At 49.1% G+C, this 20,717-nt stretch overlaps 5 annotated features.

The window, feature by feature from the left end:
* Positions 3,857 to 3,906: a silencer, noted in NCBI's record as "silent region_10011". NCBI's record gives its function as "represses an Ori minimal core promoter by ATAC-STARR-seq in GM12878 lymphoblastoid cells {active_cell/tissue: GM12878}" and the evidence as "EXISTENCE:reporter gene assay evidence [ECO:0000049][PMID:35858748]".
* Positions 4,027 to 4,076: a silencer, noted in NCBI's record as "silent region_10012". NCBI's record gives its function as "represses an Ori minimal core promoter by ATAC-STARR-seq in GM12878 lymphoblastoid cells {active_cell/tissue: GM12878}" and the evidence as "EXISTENCE:reporter gene assay evidence [ECO:0000049][PMID:35858748]".
* Positions 8,332 to 8,626: a silencer, noted in NCBI's record as "tiled region #3488; HepG2 Repressive DNase matched - State 12:CtcfO". NCBI's record gives its function as "represses a minimal TATA promoter and a strong SV40 promoter by Sharpr-MPRA in HepG2 cells {active_cell/tissue: HepG2}" and the evidence as "EXISTENCE:reporter gene assay evidence [ECO:0000049][PMID:27701403]".
* Positions 10,958 to 11,459: an enhancer, noted in NCBI's record as "H3K27ac hESC enhancer chr19:8226075-8226576 (GRCh37/hg19 assembly coordinates)". NCBI's record gives its function as "activates a minimal SCP1, AML or CMV promoter by ChIP-STARR-seq in primed H9 embryonic stem cells {active_cell/tissue: H9 hESC(primed)}" and the evidence as "EXISTENCE:reporter gene assay evidence [ECO:0000049][PMID:30033119]".
* Positions 13,104 to 13,909: an enhancer, noted in NCBI's record as "H3K27ac hESC enhancer chr19:8228221-8229026 (GRCh37/hg19 assembly coordinates)". NCBI's record gives its function as "activates a minimal SCP1, AML or CMV promoter by ChIP-STARR-seq in primed H9 embryonic stem cells {active_cell/tissue: H9 hESC(primed)}" and the evidence as "EXISTENCE:reporter gene assay evidence [ECO:0000049][PMID:30033119]".

The raw sequence follows: 20,717 nt of genomic DNA on the forward strand, positions 1-20,717 counted from the left end.
TTTCCACTACCTTCATACCTTTGAGAATAGACCCTTAACATGGGGATCTGTCAGAAGCTGTGCGTTGGGCCTGAAGCTGTTACTCCATCCAGCAAACTCCTACGCATCTGTCAAAGTCCAGTTCAAAAATTCCCTCCCTATCCGCAAATTGTGAGTTTACTCTATTGAACTCCCAAAGCTGATTGTGCTGAATATCCCCCCACCACAGTACTTCCGGAATCTAATAAATAAGTAAGCCCAGTGGGCTTGAAACCAGGAGTTCGAGACTAACCTGGGTAACATAGTGAGACCCCATCTCTAAAAAAAAAAAAAAAAAAAAAATTAAAAAGAATTAGCCAGGCCTGGTGGCATGCATCTATAGTCCCAGCTACTCAGGAGGCTGAGGCAGGAGGACTGCTTCAGCCTAGGAGGTTGAGGCTGCAGTGAGTTATGATTGTGCCACTGCACTCCAGCCTGGGCAACTGAGCAAGACCCTATCTCCAAAAATTGGAGACCCTGTCTCCATTCCGGAAGTGCTATGGTGGGAGTATATTCAGCAAGTCAGCTTTGGGAGTTCAATAGGGTAAACTCACAATTTGCAGGGAGGGAGAGGATTTTGTTTATGTTTTGTTTTGTTTGTTTTTTGAGACAAAGTCTTGCCCTGTCACCCAGGCTGGAGTGCAATGGCACGATCTTGGCTCACTACAACCTCCACCTCCCAGGTTCAAGCAATTCTCCTGCTTCAGCCTTCCGAGTAGCTGGGATTACGGGCTTGTGCCATCATGCCCGGTAAATTTTTTGTATCTTTAGTAGAGACGGGGATTCACCATGTTGGCCAGGCTGGTCTCGAACTCCTAACATCGTGATCCACCTGCCTCGGCCTCCCAAAGTGCTGAGATTACAGGCGTGAGCCACCGAGTCTGGCCCAGAAGGGGATTTTTGAAGTAGGTTTTGACAGTTGCATAGGAGTTTGCTGGAGGAAACAGAACAGGCAAAGGCCTGGAGAAGGAGAGAACTTAGAACAAACATGCCTGGATGGAGTGAGGTTGGAACTTTAGGAGAGAGGAGAAGGGGAGGGAGCAAGAGGAAAGCAGGAAACATAAGAAGAGGCTAGAAGCACCGAGGAGCCCTCAGCAGGCTCCCCCCCCACCTCTGAGGGGAGACACGGTGGACTCACAGAAAGGGGAGGTTCTCCCAAGGCTCCACTTCCAGGTCTTAGACTGTGTCCGGGGAGCATTGAGGGCCCCAGGGCTGGGCTCGGGGAGCATGGGACAGACGCCGACTTCAGGGACAAGATCCAGTCATCCTGGCCAAGGGAGGGGCCCGTGGACCCTGTGAGAAGGGTCAGGTGGGGTGCTGGGGCATGGGGAGGGTGGACTGGGGAGGGAACCCCAGGATGGAGGTGGCCCAGCAGAGACAGGGGGGTGGGGTTCCTGTTGGAGGGTGGGCCCAGGGGCTATTGTGGACAAACCAGTTTCCCCGGCCACCTTGGACACCTCTTTCCAGGCTCCTCTGCCAAGGTCCACCCAGATTTGTTCTGCAACAAATGAATCTTACATGGGCACGGGGACAAGCACCGGGTGCCCTAGAAGCAGCCCAGCATAGGTGCAAAAGGTGGGGAGAGATTGTCCCATCCCAGGGACACTGCACAGCCACTGTTGCCATGGCTAAGTCTGGAGGAGGGCTTTCCTGGAAGAACTGTGGGCCAGGGAGCGACTCAGTCCTAGAAGTCTCCCTACCTGCCCTCCAGAAGAGAGGGGAGAAGGAAGCCGGAGGGTGTGGCAAGACCAGGATGTGGAGCTGTTGGAAGTCACCGCAACTGAAGTGCTCGAAAACGGCAGATAGTGGGCATTGGTTGTTCACAGCCCCCAACCCAAGCTACTGTCCACACCGCGTGCTGTAGTTTCAGACTTCCCATGGTGCCACCCTGGTCTGTTATGTTATTGCCAGTTATTGATGTGGTATCACAGACAGTGTCACCCCCCACTGTACCCTTATTACATCACACTGTTAAGAAGGGACATTTAGGCTGGGCATGGTGGCTCACGCCTGTAATCCCAACGCTTTGGGAGGCCGAGTTGGGCATATCACGAGGTCAGGAGATCAAGACCATCCTGGCTAACACAGTGAAACCCCATCTCTACTAAAAATATAAAAAATTGCTGGGCGCGGTGGGTCACACCTGTAATCCCAGCACTTTGGGAGGCTGAGGCGGGCGGATCACGAGCTCAGGAGATCAAAACCATCCTGGCTAACATGGTGAAACCCCGTCTCTACTAAAAATACAAAAAATTAGCTGGGCATGGTGGTGGGCGCCTGCAGTTCCAGCTACTCGGGAGGCTGAGGCAGGAGAATGGTGTGAACCCGGGAGGCAGAGCTTGCAGTGAGCCGAGATGGTGCCACTGCACTCCAGTATGGGCGACAGAGCGAGACTCCATCTCAAAAAAAAAATAAATAAAATAAAAATAAATAAAAAAATTAGCCAGGCACGGGGGCACACACCTGTAGTTCCAGGTACTTGGGAGGCTGAGGCAGGAGAATCGCTTGAACCTGGGAGGCAGAGGCTGCAATGAGCCAAGATCACGCCACTGCGCTCTAGCCTAGGCGACAGAGCGAGACTCCATCTCAAAAAAAAAAAAAGAAGGGACATTTAGGCTTTAAATCCTACCGCATATCACAGTCCCCCCACCCAGGACTGTACAAAACACATGCATGGTCTCTCCGTCAAAACTGCATCATCAGCCAGGCGCTGTGCCTCACGCCTGTAATGTCAACACTTTGGGAAGCCAAGGTGGAGGATCCTTTGAGGCCAAGAGTTCAAGGCAAGCCTGGGCAACATAGCAAGACCCCATCTCTACAAAAAAATAGAAAAATTAGCTGGGCATGGTGGCATGTACCTGTAGTCCCAGCTACTTGGGAGGCTGAGGTGGGAGGAGTGCTTGAACCCAGGAGTTTGAGGCTGCAGTGAGCTATGATGTTGCCACTGGACTCCAGCCTGGATAACAGATCATGAACCTGTCTCTAAATATGTATGTATATCATCATCATCACCATGTTCCTATTCTACAGTCACTTGTCCCTATGACCCTGTCTCATTGTCACCTGTCCATGTGACACCCTGCTCTTTTCTGGTTGCTCCGCTACCTGGGACATGCATGTCTCCTGTCACCTTTACACCTTCACCTTTCTGCTGTGACACAGTCCCCGGCTCATGGTCATACCATTACCCAGAATGTCAGGGTTCTTAACATCACAATTCACTGGCATCAGCAACAACCGGGCTCAGCAGAAAGAGTGACCAAGCGTGGTGGTGCCGCAGCCAACCACATTCACACACATCACATGCAGATCGGGCCCCAGGAAGACACCATTCATTACCATCTGGCACCCTAAGCCCTGATGCTGCTCAGTGATCCGAGATGCTGGCACCAGTTCCCCCCACCCTCAGTAAAATGAGGTCCATGGGGGCTCCAATGGGGATCTGGTGTTTTAAAGTTTTTGTTTTTGTTTTTTTGACAGAATCTTGCTCTGTCGCCCAGGCTGGAGTGCAGTGGTGCAATCTCAGCTCACTGCAACCGCCTCCCAGGTTCAAGCCATTCTCCTGCCTCAGCCTCCCAAGTAGCTGGGACTACAGGCACACATCACCATCTAGTTTTTTTTTTTTCTTTTTCTTTTTCCTTTTTTTTTTTTTTTTTTTTTTTTTAGATGGAGTCTTGCTCTGTCTCCCAGGCTGGAGTGCAGTGGTGCCATCTCGGCTCACTGCAACCTCCACCTCCCAGTTTAAGTGATTCTCCTGTTTTAGCCTCCTGAGTAGCTGGGATTACAGGTGCCTGCCACCACGTCTGGCTAATTTTGTATTTTTAGTAGAGATGGGGTTTCACCACATTGGCCAGTCTGGTCTTGAACTCCAGACCTCAGGTGATCCACCTGCCTCGGTCCCAAACTGTGGGGATTACAAGTGTGAGCCACCGCGCCTGACCCCTAGTGGATGTTCTCTTTTTTTGGTTTTTGTCCTCCCCGGACCGCCCCCGCCCCGAGATGCAGTCTTGCTCTGTCACCCAGGCTGGAGTGCAGTGGTGGGATCTTGGCTCACTGCAACCTCCTCCTCCTGGGTTCAAGGAATTCTCCTGCCTCAGCCTCCTAAGTAGCTGGGATTACAGGCGTGTGCCACCACACCCGGCTATTTTTTTTTTTTTTTTTTTGTATTTTTAGTAGAGATGGGGTTTCACCATGTTGGTCAGGCTGGTCTCGAATTCCTGACCTCATGATATGTCCGCCTTGGCCTCCCAAAGTGCTGGGATTACAGGTGTGAGCCACTGCACCTGGCCCCTAGTGGGTTTTAAAATTACAGTGTCACCTGTTGCTGTCACCTGTTGCCTTCCCATCATTCCCAGTTCCTGTGACGTTGTCACCTGTTGCTGTCACATTGTCACACTATTAATGTCCCCCAGAACTGTCCCCCCCCGCTGCTGCCACTGTCATCCCGTTAAGGTCACTGTGAGTCACGCCAGCCCCACCCTCCGTTTGACTTTCTGAGCAGCCATGGAGCCCCCCCTCATAGGCGGGACTTGACTGTGTGCACCCAGAGCCAGCAGACCCCAGATGTTCATTAGCATGAGCTCGAGGAAGGCATGGAGACAGGAGTGGGCAGGGTGTGCCCAGGAGCACAGGGTCAAGGCTGGGGACAAGGAGATGGGAGGAGGGACGGGGAGATGCCTGCAGTCTATGGTGTGTGGAGTGCGCTGGGCCAGCCTAGGCCAGGGTGGCTTGGGGACAGAGCCCTCTTTGTATAAGCACAGGAAGCAGCTGGGAGTCAAAGCATTGCATACAACGCCAGGAGTTTGGCCACGTGCCCAGGAATGAGGCTTGGAGCGGGGAGGGAAGCCGCAGAGGACCCAGGAAAGCTCTGAGGAAGAGATCAAGCTGGATCCTCACAAGAGACCCTGAAGACAGGCTCTGATATCATCCCATTACACAGATGAGGAAACTGAGGCACAGAGCCACCACATCGCCCACTGGGACCCCACCACCAGGAAAGAATACAGGCAAATCTGAACCCAGGCCACAAAGCTGGAACCTTCCCCGTGGCCTTGGGCCCCCAGCCACACCCTCACCCCATTGCCTTGATGTTCTAGCTGGGGGACCTGTCTAGGGTCCATATACAATATATTATTTCTCTTTCTAATAAACACACATGTTTGCACCTTTATACATTGTTCTGTATTTGCCCTATTTCCTCTTTGTAAAAATAATTAAAAACAAACAAACAAACAAAAAAACAGGGTCTCCCTCTGTCACCCAGGCTAAAGTGCAGTGGGGAAGATAACAGCTCACTGCAGCCTCGAATTGGGCTTAAGCAATCCTCCCACCTCAGCCTCCAGAGTAGCTAGGACTACAGGCACATACTACCTGTCTAATTTAAAAAAATTTTTTTTTTTAGAGATAGAGTCTCACTATGTTGCCCAGGCTGGTCTCGAACTCTGGGATCAAGTGATCCTCCCAACTCATCCTCCCAAAGTGCTGAGATTACAGGCATGAGCCGTCACACCTGGCCTCTTTCTCTTTCTTTCTTTCTTTCTTTCTTTCTTTCTTTCTTTTTTTTTCTTTTTTTGTTCAGACAGAGTCTCGCTCTGTCGCCCAGGCTGGAGTGCAGTGGTACACTCTCAGCTCACTGCAACCTCCACCTCCCAAGTTTAAGCGATTCTCCTGCCTCAGCCTCCTGAGTAGCTGGGAGTACAGGCGCCCACCCCACACCCTAATTTTTGTAGTTTTAGTAGAGACGGGGTTTCACCATATTGGCCAGGCTGGTCTCGAACTCCTGACCATGTGATCTGCCCGCCTCCGCCTCCCAAAGTGCTGGGATTACAGGCGTGAGCCACGGTGCCTGGCCTCTTTCTCTTTCTAATAAACACAAATGTTAGCACCTTTGTATCTTGTTCTGTATTTGCTTTTTCTCATCTTTGTAAAAAAAATATATTTTTTTCTTGCAAACTAAATCAATCCCTCTCAATTACCATCTTCTTTTTACTGTTTTCTTTTACTGAGATCAATTTCACACAACATAGCACTTACTATGTTCAAGTGTACAATTCAGTAGCGTTCAGTACACGCAGTATGTGCAGCCACCCCCTCTATCTAGTTCCAAAACGTACTCATCACCCCAGAATGAAATCCTGTCCCCATTAGCAGTTGCTCCCCATTCCCCATACCCCAGTCCCTGGCAAACACTAATCCACTTTCTATTCTCTGTGGATTTGCCTGTTCCGGACATTGCACGTATTTATTTTATTTTATTTTATTTTATTTTATTTTATTTTATTTTATTTTGAGATGAAGTCTCCCTCTGTCACCCAGGCTGGAGTGCGGTAGTATGATCTTGGCTTACTGCAACCTCCACCTCCCAGGTTCGAATGTTTCCCTGCCTCAGCCTTCCGAGTAGCAGGGATTACAGGTGCACACGGCACCGCGTCTGGCTATTTTTTTTTTTTTTGGTATTTTTAGTAGAAACGGGATTTCATCATGTTAGCCAGGCTGGTCTTGAACTCTTGGCCTCAAGTGATCCATCTGCCTTGACCTCCCAAAGTGCTGGGATTACAGGCATGAGCCACCGTGCCTGGCCTAGACGTTTCACGTAAATGGAATCACACACTAGGTGGCCCTTTATTTTATTTTACTTTTTTTTTTTTTTTTTTTTGTGACAGAGTTTCTCTCTGTCACCCAGGCTGCAGTGCAGTGGCGCGATCTCGGCTCACTGCAACTTCCGCCTCCCCTGTTCAAGCAGTTCCCCTGCCTCAGCCTCCCAAGTAGCTGGGACTACAGGCACACGCCACCACACCTGGCAATTTTTTTTTTTTTTTTTTGTATTTTAATAGAGACGGGGTTTCACCATGTTGGCCAAGATGGTCTCTATCTCCTGACCTCATGATCTGCCTGCCTCGGTCTCCGAAAGTGGTGGGATCACAGGCGTGAGCCACCACGCCCAGCCTCTTTTAACTTCTTATTACATCTTGGCAATATTTCCATGTCGAGCCGGGAGCGGGGGATCACACCTGTAATCCCAGCACTTTGGGAGGCCAAGGCAGGCAGATCCCTTGAGTGCAAGAGTTAGAGACCAGCTGGGGCAACATGGCAAGCTCCGTCTCTACAAACAACACAAAGATTAGCCAGGCCTGGTGGCATGAGTCTGTAGTCCCAGCTACTCAGGAGACTGAGATGAGATCACTTGAGCCCCAGATGTCTGGGAGCCCCAGATGTCACTGTAGAGGCTACAGTGATCCGAGATCACATCACTGCACTCCGGACTGGGAGACAGAGCAAGACCCTTTCAAATAAAAAGAAAGACAGAGAGATAGAGAAAGAGAGAGAAGAAAAAGGAAGAAAGAGGAGAGGAGAGAAGATGCGCAGTGGCTCACGTCTGTAATCCCAGCACTTTGGGAGGCTGAGGCAGGTGGATCATGAGGTCAGGAGTTCAAGACCAGCCTGGCCAAGATGGTGAAACCCCATCTCTACTAAAAATACAAAAAAAATTAGCCAGGCGTGGTGGTGGGCACCTGTAATCCCAGTTACTTGGGAGGCTGAAGAAGAGAATTGCTTGAACCCGGGAGGCGGAGGTTGCAGTGAGCAGAGATCATGCCACTGCACTCCAGCCTGGGCGACAGAGTGAGACTCTGTCAAAAGAATGGAGAAAGAGAGAGAGAGAGAGGAGAAAGAGAGGAAGGAAGGAAGGAAGGAAGGAAGGAAGGAAGGAAGGAAGGAAGGAAGGAAGGAAGGAAGGAAAGAAGGGAGGGAGGGAGGGAGGGAAAGAAAGCAAGAGAGGCCGGGATGCAGTGGCTCAAGCCTGTAATCCCAGCATTTTGAGATGCCAAGGTGGGCTTTGAGGTCAGACTTCAACTGGATTAGGATTAGCCCTGCTGGGAGAAGAGAGGACTCTGGCACCCACTGCCAGTTCTGCCATCTGCACCCATTTATCTGGGGCCCCAATGCCCGCCCAGCCTCTCTCCCTCTGGTCTCATCCTTGCGGGCTAAGGGTGCACTTGCAGCTTTCCACTCTGCCCTCTGAAACCTTAAGGGTGCCATTAGTTAAGTCAGACAAGAAGACTGACACTCAAAAATAAAGTTGGTTAAGTGCAAATTGTCAGACCCAGAAACCTGAATATCACTGATCTTCAGAAAACGCACATGTGCCAGGGCCTTCATTGGCACTCAATAAACGCTGAATCGATGGATCAGTAAATGAATGAATGGTGAGCAAATCTGATATGACCGGAAGGAAGGAGTGGAAGTTGCTTGTGGAGAGACGAGCAGGACTCAGATTGAAAGGAGTCTTGAAAACCAGGAGCGTGGACATGACCTGGCGGCAGCAGGGAGCCACGGTGGGTTCTAGGCAGGGAGCGACGCCATCTGATTTACCTTTGAGGACCTCATTGCCAAGAGGAAGTTAATCAAATCTGTCACTAGGGGGCACTCAAGTCTTCCCATAGATTGTTAGGTGGCCACTGGTCACAGGGAGCTTTTGAGCATTTGAACCAGTTCTATGGAGATATAAGTGTGAAATCCACACGGAATCGCAAGCACTTCATACAAGAGAAAGAATGTAAGATGCCTCAAATAGCAATGACAGGGGTGAAATGCTGATATTTTGGGTACACTGGACTAAGTAAATTATATTATTAAAATTTCATCTGTTTCTTTTTACTTTTTAAAATGTGGGTTCTAGGCCACTCGGTGGCTTACGCCTGTAATCCCAGCACTTTGGGAGGCCCAGGTGGGCGGATCATGAGGTTAGGAGTTTGAAACCAGCCTGGCCAACATGGTGAAACCCCATCTCTACTAAAAATACAAAAAATTAGCTGGGCATAGTGGCAGGGACCTGAAATCCCAGCTATTCGGGAGGCTGAGGCAGGAGAATCGCTTGAAACTGGGAGGCGGAGGTTGCAGTGAACTAAGATCGTACCACTGCACTCCAGCCTAGGCAACAGAGTGAGACTCCGTCTCAAAAATATATATATAAATAAGTAAATATATATGAAATAAAATGTGGGTTCTAAAAGAGTTAAGATTGTCTATGTCGGTTGCATTAGTTTTTATTTTATTTCTTTTTTATTAGGCAAGATCACGTTCTGTTGCCCAGGCTGGAATGCAGTGGTGTGATCATGGCTCACTACAGCCTCAACCTCCCAGGCTCAAGCAATCCTCCTACCTCAGCCTCCCGAGTAGGTGGGATTACAAGTGCCGCCACCACACCCGGCTAACTTTTGTATGTTTTGTAAACACAAGGTTTCATCATGTTGTCCCAGCTGATCTCAAACTCCTGGGCCCAAGCGATCCTCCTGCCTCAGCCTCCCAAAGTGCTAGGATTATGGACATGAGTCACTGAGCCTGACCTTGCATTTATATTTCTATTGGACAGCACTGATTTAGAAAAAGAAGTTACTATTTTTTTCAACAGTCATCAGGGGTTGAACTACCCTCTCTTTTTCTCTTATTTCCTCTTACTTTGGTCATTCTTCAAGTTAACAATCTACCAGGTTGTTCTCTTTGTTCATTAAACGAAGGTAGATATTCATAAATACATAGACCAAAAAGAGAGGATGGGGTCATTGTTTCATAAATATGGAATCATATTGAACATACTTTTTTATTCACAGGACTTTCTGGAAACTTCTTAGACCACCTACTAAAATCTGAATTCATTCTTTTTAATTGCTTGATAATCATCTATGGTGTGGATGAACCTTCATTTATTCAACCACATCCCCACTGATGAGTTTTCACTTGGTTAACAGGTTTTATTCCCCACCACTACCAAAAAGTAAGCAAAAAATGCTGCAACAAGAATTTTTTGGCTGGGTGCAGTGGCTCTCACCTGTAATCCCAGCACTTTCGGAGGCCAAAGGCAGGAGGATCGCTTCAGACCAGTTCAAGACTAGCCTGGACAATGTAATGAGACTCCTGTCTTTACAAAAAAATTTTTAAAAACTAGCCGAACATGATGGCATCTGTAGTCCCAACTACTTGGAAGTCTGAGGTGAGAGAATCACTTGAGCCTGGGAGGTTGAGGCTGCAGTGAGCCATGATCACGCCACTGCACTCCAGCCTGGGCATTAGAGCGAGGCCCTGTCTCTACAAAAATTAATTTTTATACCTATGCCCATACGTGCTGACGATTTTCTTTCCAAGGGAAAGATTTCTAGCAATGAGGTTGCTGGGTGAAGGATCTCTCTCTCTCTCTCTCTTTCTCTCTCTCTCTCTCTCTCTCTCTCTCTCTCTCTATATATATATATATATATATATATATATATATATTTTTTTTTTTTTTTTTTTTTTTTTTTGAGACCGAGTCTCGCTCTGTCACCAGGCTGGAGTGCAGTGGTGCAATATTGGCTCACTGCAACCTCCTCCTCCCAGGTTCAAGCAGTTCTCTGCCTCAGCCTCCCGAGTAGCTGGGACTACAGGCGCGTGGCACCACGCCCAGCTAATTTTTGTATTTTTAGTGGAGATGGGGTTTCATCATGTTGGCCAAGATGATCTTGCTCTCTTGACCTCGTGATCTGCCTGCCTCAGCCTCCCAAAGTGCTGGGATTACAGGCGTGAGCCACCGTGCCCGGCCTATATTTTTAATTTTAATAGATGTTGCCAGGTTGTAGATATTGACAAACTGATCCTAAAATTGATACAGAAAGACAAAGACTGAGAATAGCCTACAAAATATCAAAGAAGAACCAAGTTGGAGGACTGTCACTACCCAATATCAAGACGTTCTGGAAATCTGCAATAACCAAGACAGTATTGGCAAAAGAAGACACACAGATCAACAGAACAGAAAGTCCAGAAATAAATCCACACCAATATAATCAATTGATCTTTGACAAAAGCTCACAGGCAATTCAACGGAGAAAGGACAGTCTTTTTGCTGTCTATGCAATCAATGTGTTCCCTGCCCAATGCACATACAGGCCAATACATGGCACCAGCTTTTCAGAAAATAAAAGCTTTATTGCAAGTCGACTGCACGGAGACAGGAAGAAACATTCAAATCTGTCTCCGGGAGCTGCAGGCTGGGGCAGCTTTTATAAGCATAGGGTAATGAGGCGTGTTCTGATTGGATCTTGCACTGAGGTGATGCCGGGAGGCATGATCTGATTGGATCCGGCCATGGGATGATGTCAGGGCTCACTCTGATTGGATCCTGGGTCCTGTCATGCAGTGTCTGCTTCTTAATTCAGTCTCCACCCCTCTCTCCTCAGTGGGAGCACTTAGGTTCTGCCTGTGGTTACACAGTTGGTTCACCTGGACATGCTCAGGTTATGCGACCTTCTACCTGGGGGTCCGTGGCAACTGAAAAACAACTCACAACTCTGCTACATAAAAGTTGAACTGACCGGGCGTGGTGGCTCACGCCTGTAATTCCAGCACTTTGGGAGGCTGAGGCGGGCGGATCACCTGAGGTCGGGAGTGCAAGACCAGCCTGACCAACATGGAGAAACTCCGTCTCTACTAAAACTACAAAATTAGCCGGGCGTGGTGGCACATGCCTATAATCCCAGCAACTAGGGAGGTTGAGGCAGGAGAATCGCTTGAACCTGGGAGGCGGAGGTTGTGGTGAGCCGAGATCCTGCCATTGCACTCCAGCCTGGGCAACAAGAGTGAAACTCCTTCTTGAAAAAAAATAAAAAATAAAAAGTTGAACCATTGGGACCGGGCGCGGTGGCTCACACCTGTAATCCCAGCACATTGGGAGTCCGAGGCGGGCAGATCACGAGGTCAGGAGATCGAGACTAGCCGAGACCATCCTGGCTAACATGGTGAAACCCCGTCTCTACTAAAAATACAAAAACAAAATTAGCCGGGTGTGGTGGCGGGCACCTGTAGTCCCAGCTACTCCAGAGGCTGAGGCAGGAGAATGGCGTGAACCCGGGAGGCGGAGCTTGCAGTGAGCTGAGATCACGCCACTGCACTTCATCCTGGGTGACAGAGCGAGACTCCAAAAAAAAAAAAAAATTGAACCATTGGGAGGCCGAGGCGGGCGGATCACCTGAGGTCAGGAGTTTGAGACCAGCCTGGCCAATATAGTGAAACCCCATCTCTACTAAAAATACAAAAATTAGCCAGGTGTGGTGGTGCTCACCTGTAATCCCAGCTACTCAGGAGGCTGAGACAGGAGGATCACTTGAACTCAGGAAGCAGAGGCTGCTGTGAGCTGAGACTGCGCCACTAGACTCCAGCCTGGGCGACAGAGTGAGACTCTGTCTTCAAGAAAAAAAAAAAGGTGAACCAGATTGGTCTGGTGTGGTTACATTTTCCACAGATGGTGCTAGAACAATCAGATGTCCATACGCAAAAAATAGGCACAGACTTTACACCTTTCGTAAAAAATGAATGCAGCCAGGTGCAGTGGCTCACGCCTGTAATCCCAGCACTTTTGGGGGCTGAAACAGGAGAATTGCTTGAGCCCAAGAGTTCGAGACCGGCCTTGAACAAGTGAGAACCCCTCTCTACAAAAAATTTTAAAACTTTTTAAAAATCTAAAAACAAAACAAAACAAAAATGAACACAGACCAGGCACAGTGGCTCACACCTGTAATCCCAGCACTTTAGAAGGCCAAGATGGGTAGATCACCTGAGGTCAGGGGTTCAAGACCAGCTTGGCCAAGATGGTGAAACCCCGTCTCTACTAAAAATACAAAAATTAGCCAGGAGTGGTAGTGGGCACCTGTAATCCCAGCTACTTGGGAGGCTGAGGCAGGAGAATCACTTGAACCTGGGAGGTGGGGGTTGCAGTGAGTCAAGATCGAGCCACTGTACTCCAACCTGGGTGACAGAGTGAGACTCAAAAAAAACAAAAAAATGAACACAAAAGGGACCATAGTGAGGTACCTAGAATTGGAAAATTCACAGAGACAGAAAGTAGAATGGAGGTTACCAGGGGCTGGGGGAAGAGGGATGGAGTGTTATTATTATCATAATTATTATTATTTTGAGACAGTGTCTCACTCTGTCACCAGGCTGTAGTGCAGTGGCATGATCTTGGTTCACTTCAACCTCCGCCTCCCAGGTTCAAGAGATTCTCCTGCCTCAGCCTCCTGAGTAGCTGGGACTACAGGCATGCGCTACCACGCCCGGCTAATTTTTTTGTATTTTTAGTAGAGACGGGGTTTCACCATGTTGGCCAGGATGGTCTCGATCTCTTGACCTCGTGATCCACCCGCCTCGGCCTCCCAAAGTGCTGGGATTACAGGTGTGAGCCACAGCACCCGGCCAGTGCTATTATTTAATAGGTACAGATTTCCCGTTTGGAAAAAGTTCTGGAGATGAATGGTGAAGATATTATGGGAAAGGGCTCCCAGTTCAGACTCCAAGAGAGGGTTCTTAGATCTCGCACAAGAAAGAATTCAGGACAAGTCCATAAAGTGAAAGCAAGTTTATTAGAAAAGTAAAGGAATAAAAGAATGGCTATTCCATAGACAGAGCAGCCCCGAGGCCTGCTGGTTGCCCATTTTTATGGTTATTTCTTGATGATATGCTAAACAAGGGGTGGATTATTCATGCCTCCCCTTTTTAGAGCATAGAGGGTAGCTTCCTGATGCTGCCACGGCATCTGTAAACCGTCATGGCACTGGTGAGAGTGCAGCAGTGAGGACAACCAGAGGCCACTCATGTCGTCATCTTGGTCTTGGTGGGTTTCAGCTGGCTTCTTTATTGCAATCTGTTTTATCAGCAAGGTCTTTATAACCTGTATCTTGTGCTGACCTCCTGTCTCATCCTGTGACTTAGAATGACTTAACCACCTGGGAATTCAGCCCAGTAGGTCTCAGGCTGATTTTACCCAGCCCTTATTCAAGACGGAGTCGCTCTGGTTTACATACTTCTGACAGTGATGGTTGCAAAACAACGCGAATGTACTTAATACCACTGAGTTGCATACTTAAAAATGGTTTGAGAACTAAGCTCCGATATTTTTTATCTTGCCCAGATTCCTATCTAAGGGGCCTGCCCCACAAACCATAAATCCTCATCAGATGGGTTTTATTTAATCCTATATATCGTCACTTACTTTCCAACCTGACTCTGCCATAACATTATGTGGCAAAGAAGAAAATAAAAGTATTTTACCCCAAAACATGTTTCTTTACCATATTTTGAAATGGCCTTGGGCCAGGTGTGGTCGCTCACGCCTGTAATCCCAGCACTTTGGGAGGCGGAGGCAGGCAGATCACCTGAGGTCAGGAGTTCGAGACTAGCCTGACCAACACGGAGAAACCCCATCTCTACTAAAAATACAAAATTAGTCTGGCATGGTGGCCCATTCCTCTAATCCCAGCTACTCAGGAGGCTGAGGCAGGAGAATTGCTTGAACCCGGGAGGCCGAGGTTGCAGTGAGCCAATATCGTGCCATTGCACTCCAACCTGGGCAACAAGAGCGAAACTCTGTCTCAAAACAAACAAACAAACCTTGGTCTCCATAATCTTTTATCTGAACCTGAACATTTCCTTTCTATTAATCCCAGGTCTTTATTTTGTTTGTTTGTTTATTTATTTATTTATTTATTTAGAGACAGAGTCTCACTCTGTTGCCTAGCCTAGAGCACAGTGACATGATCTCGACTCGCTGAAACCTCCATCTCCCGGGTTCAAGAGATTTTCCTGCCTCAGCCTCCAGAGTAGCTGGGATTATAGGCACCTGCCACCATGCCCGGCTAATTTTTTTGTATTTTTGATAGAAACAGGGTTTCATCATGTTGGTCAGGCTGGACTCCAACTCCTGACCTCAAGTGATCCACCCACTTCAGCCTCCAGAAGTGCTGGGATTACAGAGGTGAGCCACCATGCCCAGCTTAATCCCAGGCCTTTAGACAAACTCAACCAATTGTCCACCAGAAAATGTTCAAATTTACCTATAGCCTGGAAGACCCGCCACCTCCTTTGAATTGTCCCACCTTTCTGTACCAAACCAGCGTATTTCTCAGATGTGTTTGATTGATGTCTCTTGCCTCCCTAAAATGTATCAAACCAAGCTGCTCCCGAACCACCTTGGGCATATGTTCCCAGGACCTCCTGAGAGCTATGTCATGGGCTATGATCACTCATATTTGCCTCAGAATAAATCTCTTCGAATATTTTAAAGTTTGACTCTTTGCGTTGACAGGTTAAAATGGTAAATTGTGGCTGGGCGCGGTGGCTCATGCCTATAATCCCAGCACTTTGGGAGGCCAAGGCGGTCGGATGACTTGAGGTCAGGAATTCGAGACTACCCTTGCCAACATGGCCAAACACCATCTCTACCAAAAATACAAAAATTAACTGGGCGTGGTGGCGCCCGCACCTGTATTCCCAGCTATTCGGGAGGCTGAGGCAGGAGAATCGCTTGAACCCAGGAGGCGGAGGTTGCAGTGAGCCGAGATTGCACCACTGCACTCCAGCCTGGGCGACAGAGCAAGACTCTGTCTCAAAAAAAAAAAAAAAAAAAAAAAGGGTAAATTGTATGCCATATATATTATACCATGCAAACAAACACAAAGAATTGTAGACCTATATGTCAAATACAAAGCTATAGGTGATGGTGCAAGAGGAAGGTGGAGAATGGAAGGGAGAGAAAACAAAAATAAGGAAGGAAGGAAGGAAGGAAAGAAAGGAAGGGAGGAAGGGAGGAAGAGAGGGAAGGAGGGAGGGAGGGAGGGGGAGGGGGAGGAGGGGAGGGGGAGAGGGAAGGAGGGAGGAGGGAGGAGGAGGGAGGAGGAAGGGAAGGAGAAAAAACTCTACAAAACTCTACAACTTCTAGAAGAAAATCTAGGTGATCTTGGCCGGGCGCAGTGGCTCACGCCTGTAATCCCAGCACTTTGGGAGGCCAAGGCGGGAGGATCACGAGGTCAGGAGATCGAGACCATCCTGGCTAACACGGTGAAACCCCGTCTCTACTAAAAATACAAAAAATTAGCCAGGCGTGGTGGCGGGCACCTGTAGTCCCAGCTACTCGGGAGGCTGAGGCAGGAGAATGGCATGAACCCGGGAGGTGGAGTTTGCAGTGAGCCGAGATTGTGCCACCGCACTCCAGCCTGGGCGACAGGGTGAGACGCCATCCCCAAAAAAAAAAAAAAGTCTCATTGGTCCTTTGGTTGTATAGGCAGCTGCTGCTATTTTCTTTTCTTTTCTTTTAGATGGAGTTTCACTCTTGTTGCCCAGGCTGGAGTGCAATGGCGTGATCTCGGCTCACTGCAACCTCCACCTCCCAGGTTCAGTTCTCCTGCCTCAGCCTCCCAAGTAGCTGGGATTATAGGCACCCACCACCATGCCCAGCTAATTTTTTGTAATTTTAGTAGAGCTGGGAAGTCACCATGTTGGCCAGGCTGGCCTTGAACTCCTGACCTCAGGTGATCCACTGGCCTCAGCCTTCCAAAGTGCTGGGACTACAGGCGTGAGCCACTGTGCCCGGCCAGCTTAGATTTTCTAATACGATTTTTATTCTTTATATATATTTTGTATTTTATATGTGTATCTATATGTGTTTAGAGATGGGGTCTTACTTTTTTTTTTTTTTTTTGAGACGGAGTTTTGCTCTTGTTGCCCAGGCTGGGGTGCAATGGCACCATCTCAGCTCACTGCAACCTCCACCTCCCAGGTTCCAGTGATTCTCCTGCCTCAGCCTCCTGAGTAGCTAGGATTACAGGCCTGCGCCAACACGCCTGGCTAATTTTGCATTTTTTAGTAGAGATGGGGTTTCTCCATGTTGGTCAGGCTGGTCTTGAACTCCCGACCTCAGGTGATATGCCCGCCTCAGCCTCCCAAAATGCTGGGATTACAGGTGTGAGCCACCGCGCCCGGCCGGGTCTTGCTCTTTTGCCCAGGCTGGAGTACAATGGCATGATCACAGCTCACTGAAGTCTAGACCTCTAGGGCTCAAGCCATCCTCCCACCTCAGCCTCCTGAATAGCCAACACCAAAGGTGCATGCCACCACACCTGACTAATTTTGTTTATCTTTTGTAGAGACAAGGCCTCACTATGTTGCCCAGGCTGGTCTCGAACTCCTGGGCTCAAGCAATCCTCCCACCTTAGCCTCCTGGGGACCTGGCATGCAATCACAGATGTGTGCCAGTGTGTCTTGGCACAGGATTCACTTGCTTTCCAGCAAATTGCAACAGGAGGTCACAGAGCAACAGAACCGAGATCTGATCCAAGTGTCTGTGGAGGGTGCAGCTGCCAGACCCTGTGGCGAGGTCAAATGTGCAGGTGGGTGGCTAACTTGGGTTCTGTCCCTTAGCCGTAGTAACACATGAAGGGGGAAACCCCTTTCCCTTGCTGCTTGGCCAGCTCTCTGGGGACACAGGAGCCAGGTAGGGCAGGGGAACAGACCCTAGGGAAAGCAAGGTGAAAGGGAAAAGCCTGGACTAGTGGCACACACCTGTAAGTCCCAGCCACTCGGGAGGCTGAGGTGGGAGGATTGCTTGAGCCCAGGAGTTCAAGCCTGCATTGAGCTATGGTTGCACCACTGCACTGCAGCCTGGGCACAGAGTGAGACCCTGACCCAAATAATAATACATAAAAATACAGAAAGAGAAAGAAATGACAACATGTGGAAGAGCCTACAGAGAAGAGAAACAATAAAGTGCTTCCTAGTTTGGGGGTCGTCAGAAGACGGGGCCCCACAGGAGGGGACTGGTCTTTCTGTGAGGTTCACTTGAGGCCAGGAGTTTCTCTGTTTCCTGATGTTTTGGCATCTTGGGCCTTGCTAATGCCGGAAAGACAGCTTCTCCCAGGGTTTGCCGATTTCTTCAGGGTTAGCTAATTTGTTGGAGAGTTTGCAAACAACTGGCTTGTCCAAGAGCACACGGTTCCTATGGAAAGCTCACACCCCACAACCACCTTTTTTGCAGAGCTGTGACAATCCAAGCCTGTTGCCCTGACCTGATTACTTTAGGGCCATGTGCCAGGCAATTAGGGACAGCACGTATGCCCCAGAGCCTGGAGAAATTATTCAAAATAGCCCGTGGCAACTTTCATCTGCCTCACTGTGCCTGTCCCATGGAAACTATAATAAAGGCTCTTACCCACATTTTCTCCTGCTCTCTCCGCCTCCTTTTTTTTTTTTTGAGACGGAGTCTGCTTCTGTTGCCCAAGCTGGAGTGCAGTGGTGCAATGTCAGCTCACTGCCACCTCCGCCTCCCAGATTCAGTGATTCTCCTGTCTCAGCCTCCTGAGTAGCTGGGATTACAGGCAGCCGCCACCATGCCCGGCTAATTTTTGTATTTTTAGTAGAGATGGGGTTTCACCATGTTGGCCAGGCTGGTCTCAAACGCCTGACCTCAGGTGATCTGCCTGCGTCGGCCTCCCAAAGTGCTGGGATTACAGGCGTGAGCCACTGCCCCAGGTCTCTCTCTCTCTCTTTTTTTTTTTTTTTTTTTTTTTGAGAACAGGGTCTTGCTCTGTTGCCCAAGCTGGTATGCAGTGGTGCAATCACAACTCACTGCGGCCTTGACTTCCTGGGCCCAAGCAATCCTCTCACCTCAGCCTCCCAAGTAGCTGGGACCATGGGGCATACACCATCATGGCCAGCGTGTAAAAATGGGATCTTGCTATGTTGCCCAGGCTGGTCTCGAACTCCTGGCCTCAAGCAATTCTCCCACCTTGGCCCCCCACAGTGTTGGGATTACAGGTGAGAGCCACTGTGTCTGGCCTCCTGCTACATTTTAAAATAAGAAGCAGGGGCCGGGCGTGGTGGCTCACGCCTGTAATCCCAGCACTTTGGGAGGCCGAGGCGGGCGGATCACGACGTCGGGAGATCGAGACCATCCTGGCTAATGCGGTAAAACCCCGCCTCTACTAAAAATACAGAAAAATTAGCCGGGCGTGGTGGTGGGCGTCTTTAGTACCAGCTACTGGGGAGGCTGAGGCGGGAGAATGGCGTGAACCCGGAAGGCGGAGCTTGCAGTGAGCCGAATCGTGCCATGCACTCCAGCCTGACGAGACTCTGTCTCAAAAAAATAAATAAATAAATATAAAATAAAATAAGAAGCAGGTCAGGCACAGTGGCTCATGCCTGTAATCCTAGCACTTTGGGAGGCTGAGACAGGCAGATCACCTGAGGTCAGGAGTTTGAGACCAGCCTGGCCAACATGATGAAACCCTGTCTCTACTAAAAATACAAAAAATTAGCTGGGCATGGTGGCAGGTGCCTGTAATCCCAGCTACTCAGGAGGCTGAGGCAGGAGAATCGCTTGAACCCAGGAGGTGGAGGTCGCAGTGAGCTGAGATTGTGCCACTGCACTCCAGCCTGGGTGACCAAGCAAGATTCCATTAAAAAAAAAAAAGGCTGCTGGTTGAGGTGGCTCACGTCTGTAATCATGTCACTTTGAGAAGCTGAGGAGGGAGGATCGCTTGAGGCCAGGAGTTTGAGACCAGCCTGGGTGGCATAGCAAGACTCCATCTCTAAATATAAGGTTTTTTTCAGCCAGGTGTGGTGGCTCATTCCTGTAATCCCAGCGCTTTGAGAGGCTGAGGTGGGTGGATTACCTGATGTTAGGAGTTCAAGAGCAACCTGGCCATCTCCAGCCTGGGCAACAAGAGCGAGACTCCATCTCAAAAAAAGCAAAACAAAAAAAATACTTTTTTCTAAGAGACAGTGTCACCTAGGCTGGAGTGTCACCCAGGCTGTGTCACCCAGGCTGGAGTGCAGTGGCATGATTTCAGCTCACTGCAGCCTCAACCTCCTGGGCTCAATCAATCCTCCCACCTGAGCCTCCTGAGCAGCTGGGACCGAAGGCATGCACCACCACACCCGGCTAACTTTTGTGTTTTTTGTAGATGCTGGGTTTCGCCATTTTGCCCGGACTGGTCTCGAACTCCAGAGCTCAAGACATCCTCCTGCCTTGGCCTCCCAAAGTGCCAGGACTACAGGCGTGAGCCACTGAACCCAGCTGGCTAAATAAACTTCCTAAATTGATTGAGACCTGACTCAGATACTTTGAGTTTACACAGCTCAATTCATATCTGTTCATGCATTAAATGAATGGATTTTCTTTTTCTTTTCTTTTTTTTTTTTTTGAGATGGAGTCTCGCTCTGTTGTCCAGGCTGGAGTACAGTGGCACTATCTCGGCTCACTGCAACCTCTGCCTCCCAGGTTCAAGTGATTCTCCTGCCTCAGCCTCCCGAGCAGCTGGGATTACAGGCATGTGCCACCATGCCCAGCTAATGTTTGTATTTCTAGTAGAGACGGGTTTTTACCATGTTGGCCAGGCTGGTCTCAAACTCTTGACCTTAAGTGATCTGCCCACCTCAGCTTCCTGAAGTGCTAGTATTACAGGCATGAGCCACCGCGCCCAGACTTTTTTTTTTTTTTGAGACAGAGTTTTGCTCTTTTTGCCCAGGCTGGAGTGCAATGGCACGATCTCAGCTCACTGCAACCTCCACTTCCCAGGTTCAAGTGATTCTACTGCCTCACCCTTCCGAGTAGCTAGGATTACAGGCACCCGCCACCATATCTGGCTAATTTTTGTATTTTTAGTAGAGAAAGGGTTTCACCATGTTGGCCAGGCTGGTCTTGAACTCCTTGACCTCCAGTAATCCACCCGCCTCGGCCTCCCAAAGTGCTGGGATTATAGGCATAAGCCACTGCACCCGGCCTAAATGAATGGATTTTCTGCTCCTGTTCAGGGGCTTGGGTAAAGCTGTCATGAGGATAAAAGGATCAGAGAGATGAAGGGGTTATAGAAGTGGGAGTAGTGCCAGGCACGGTGGCTCAAGCC

The sequence above is a fragment of the Homo sapiens genome, chromosome 19, assembly GCF_000001405.40.
Source record: "Homo sapiens chromosome 19, GRCh38.p14 Primary Assembly".
Lineage (NCBI taxonomy): Eukaryota > Metazoa > Chordata > Mammalia > Primates > Hominidae > Homo > Homo sapiens.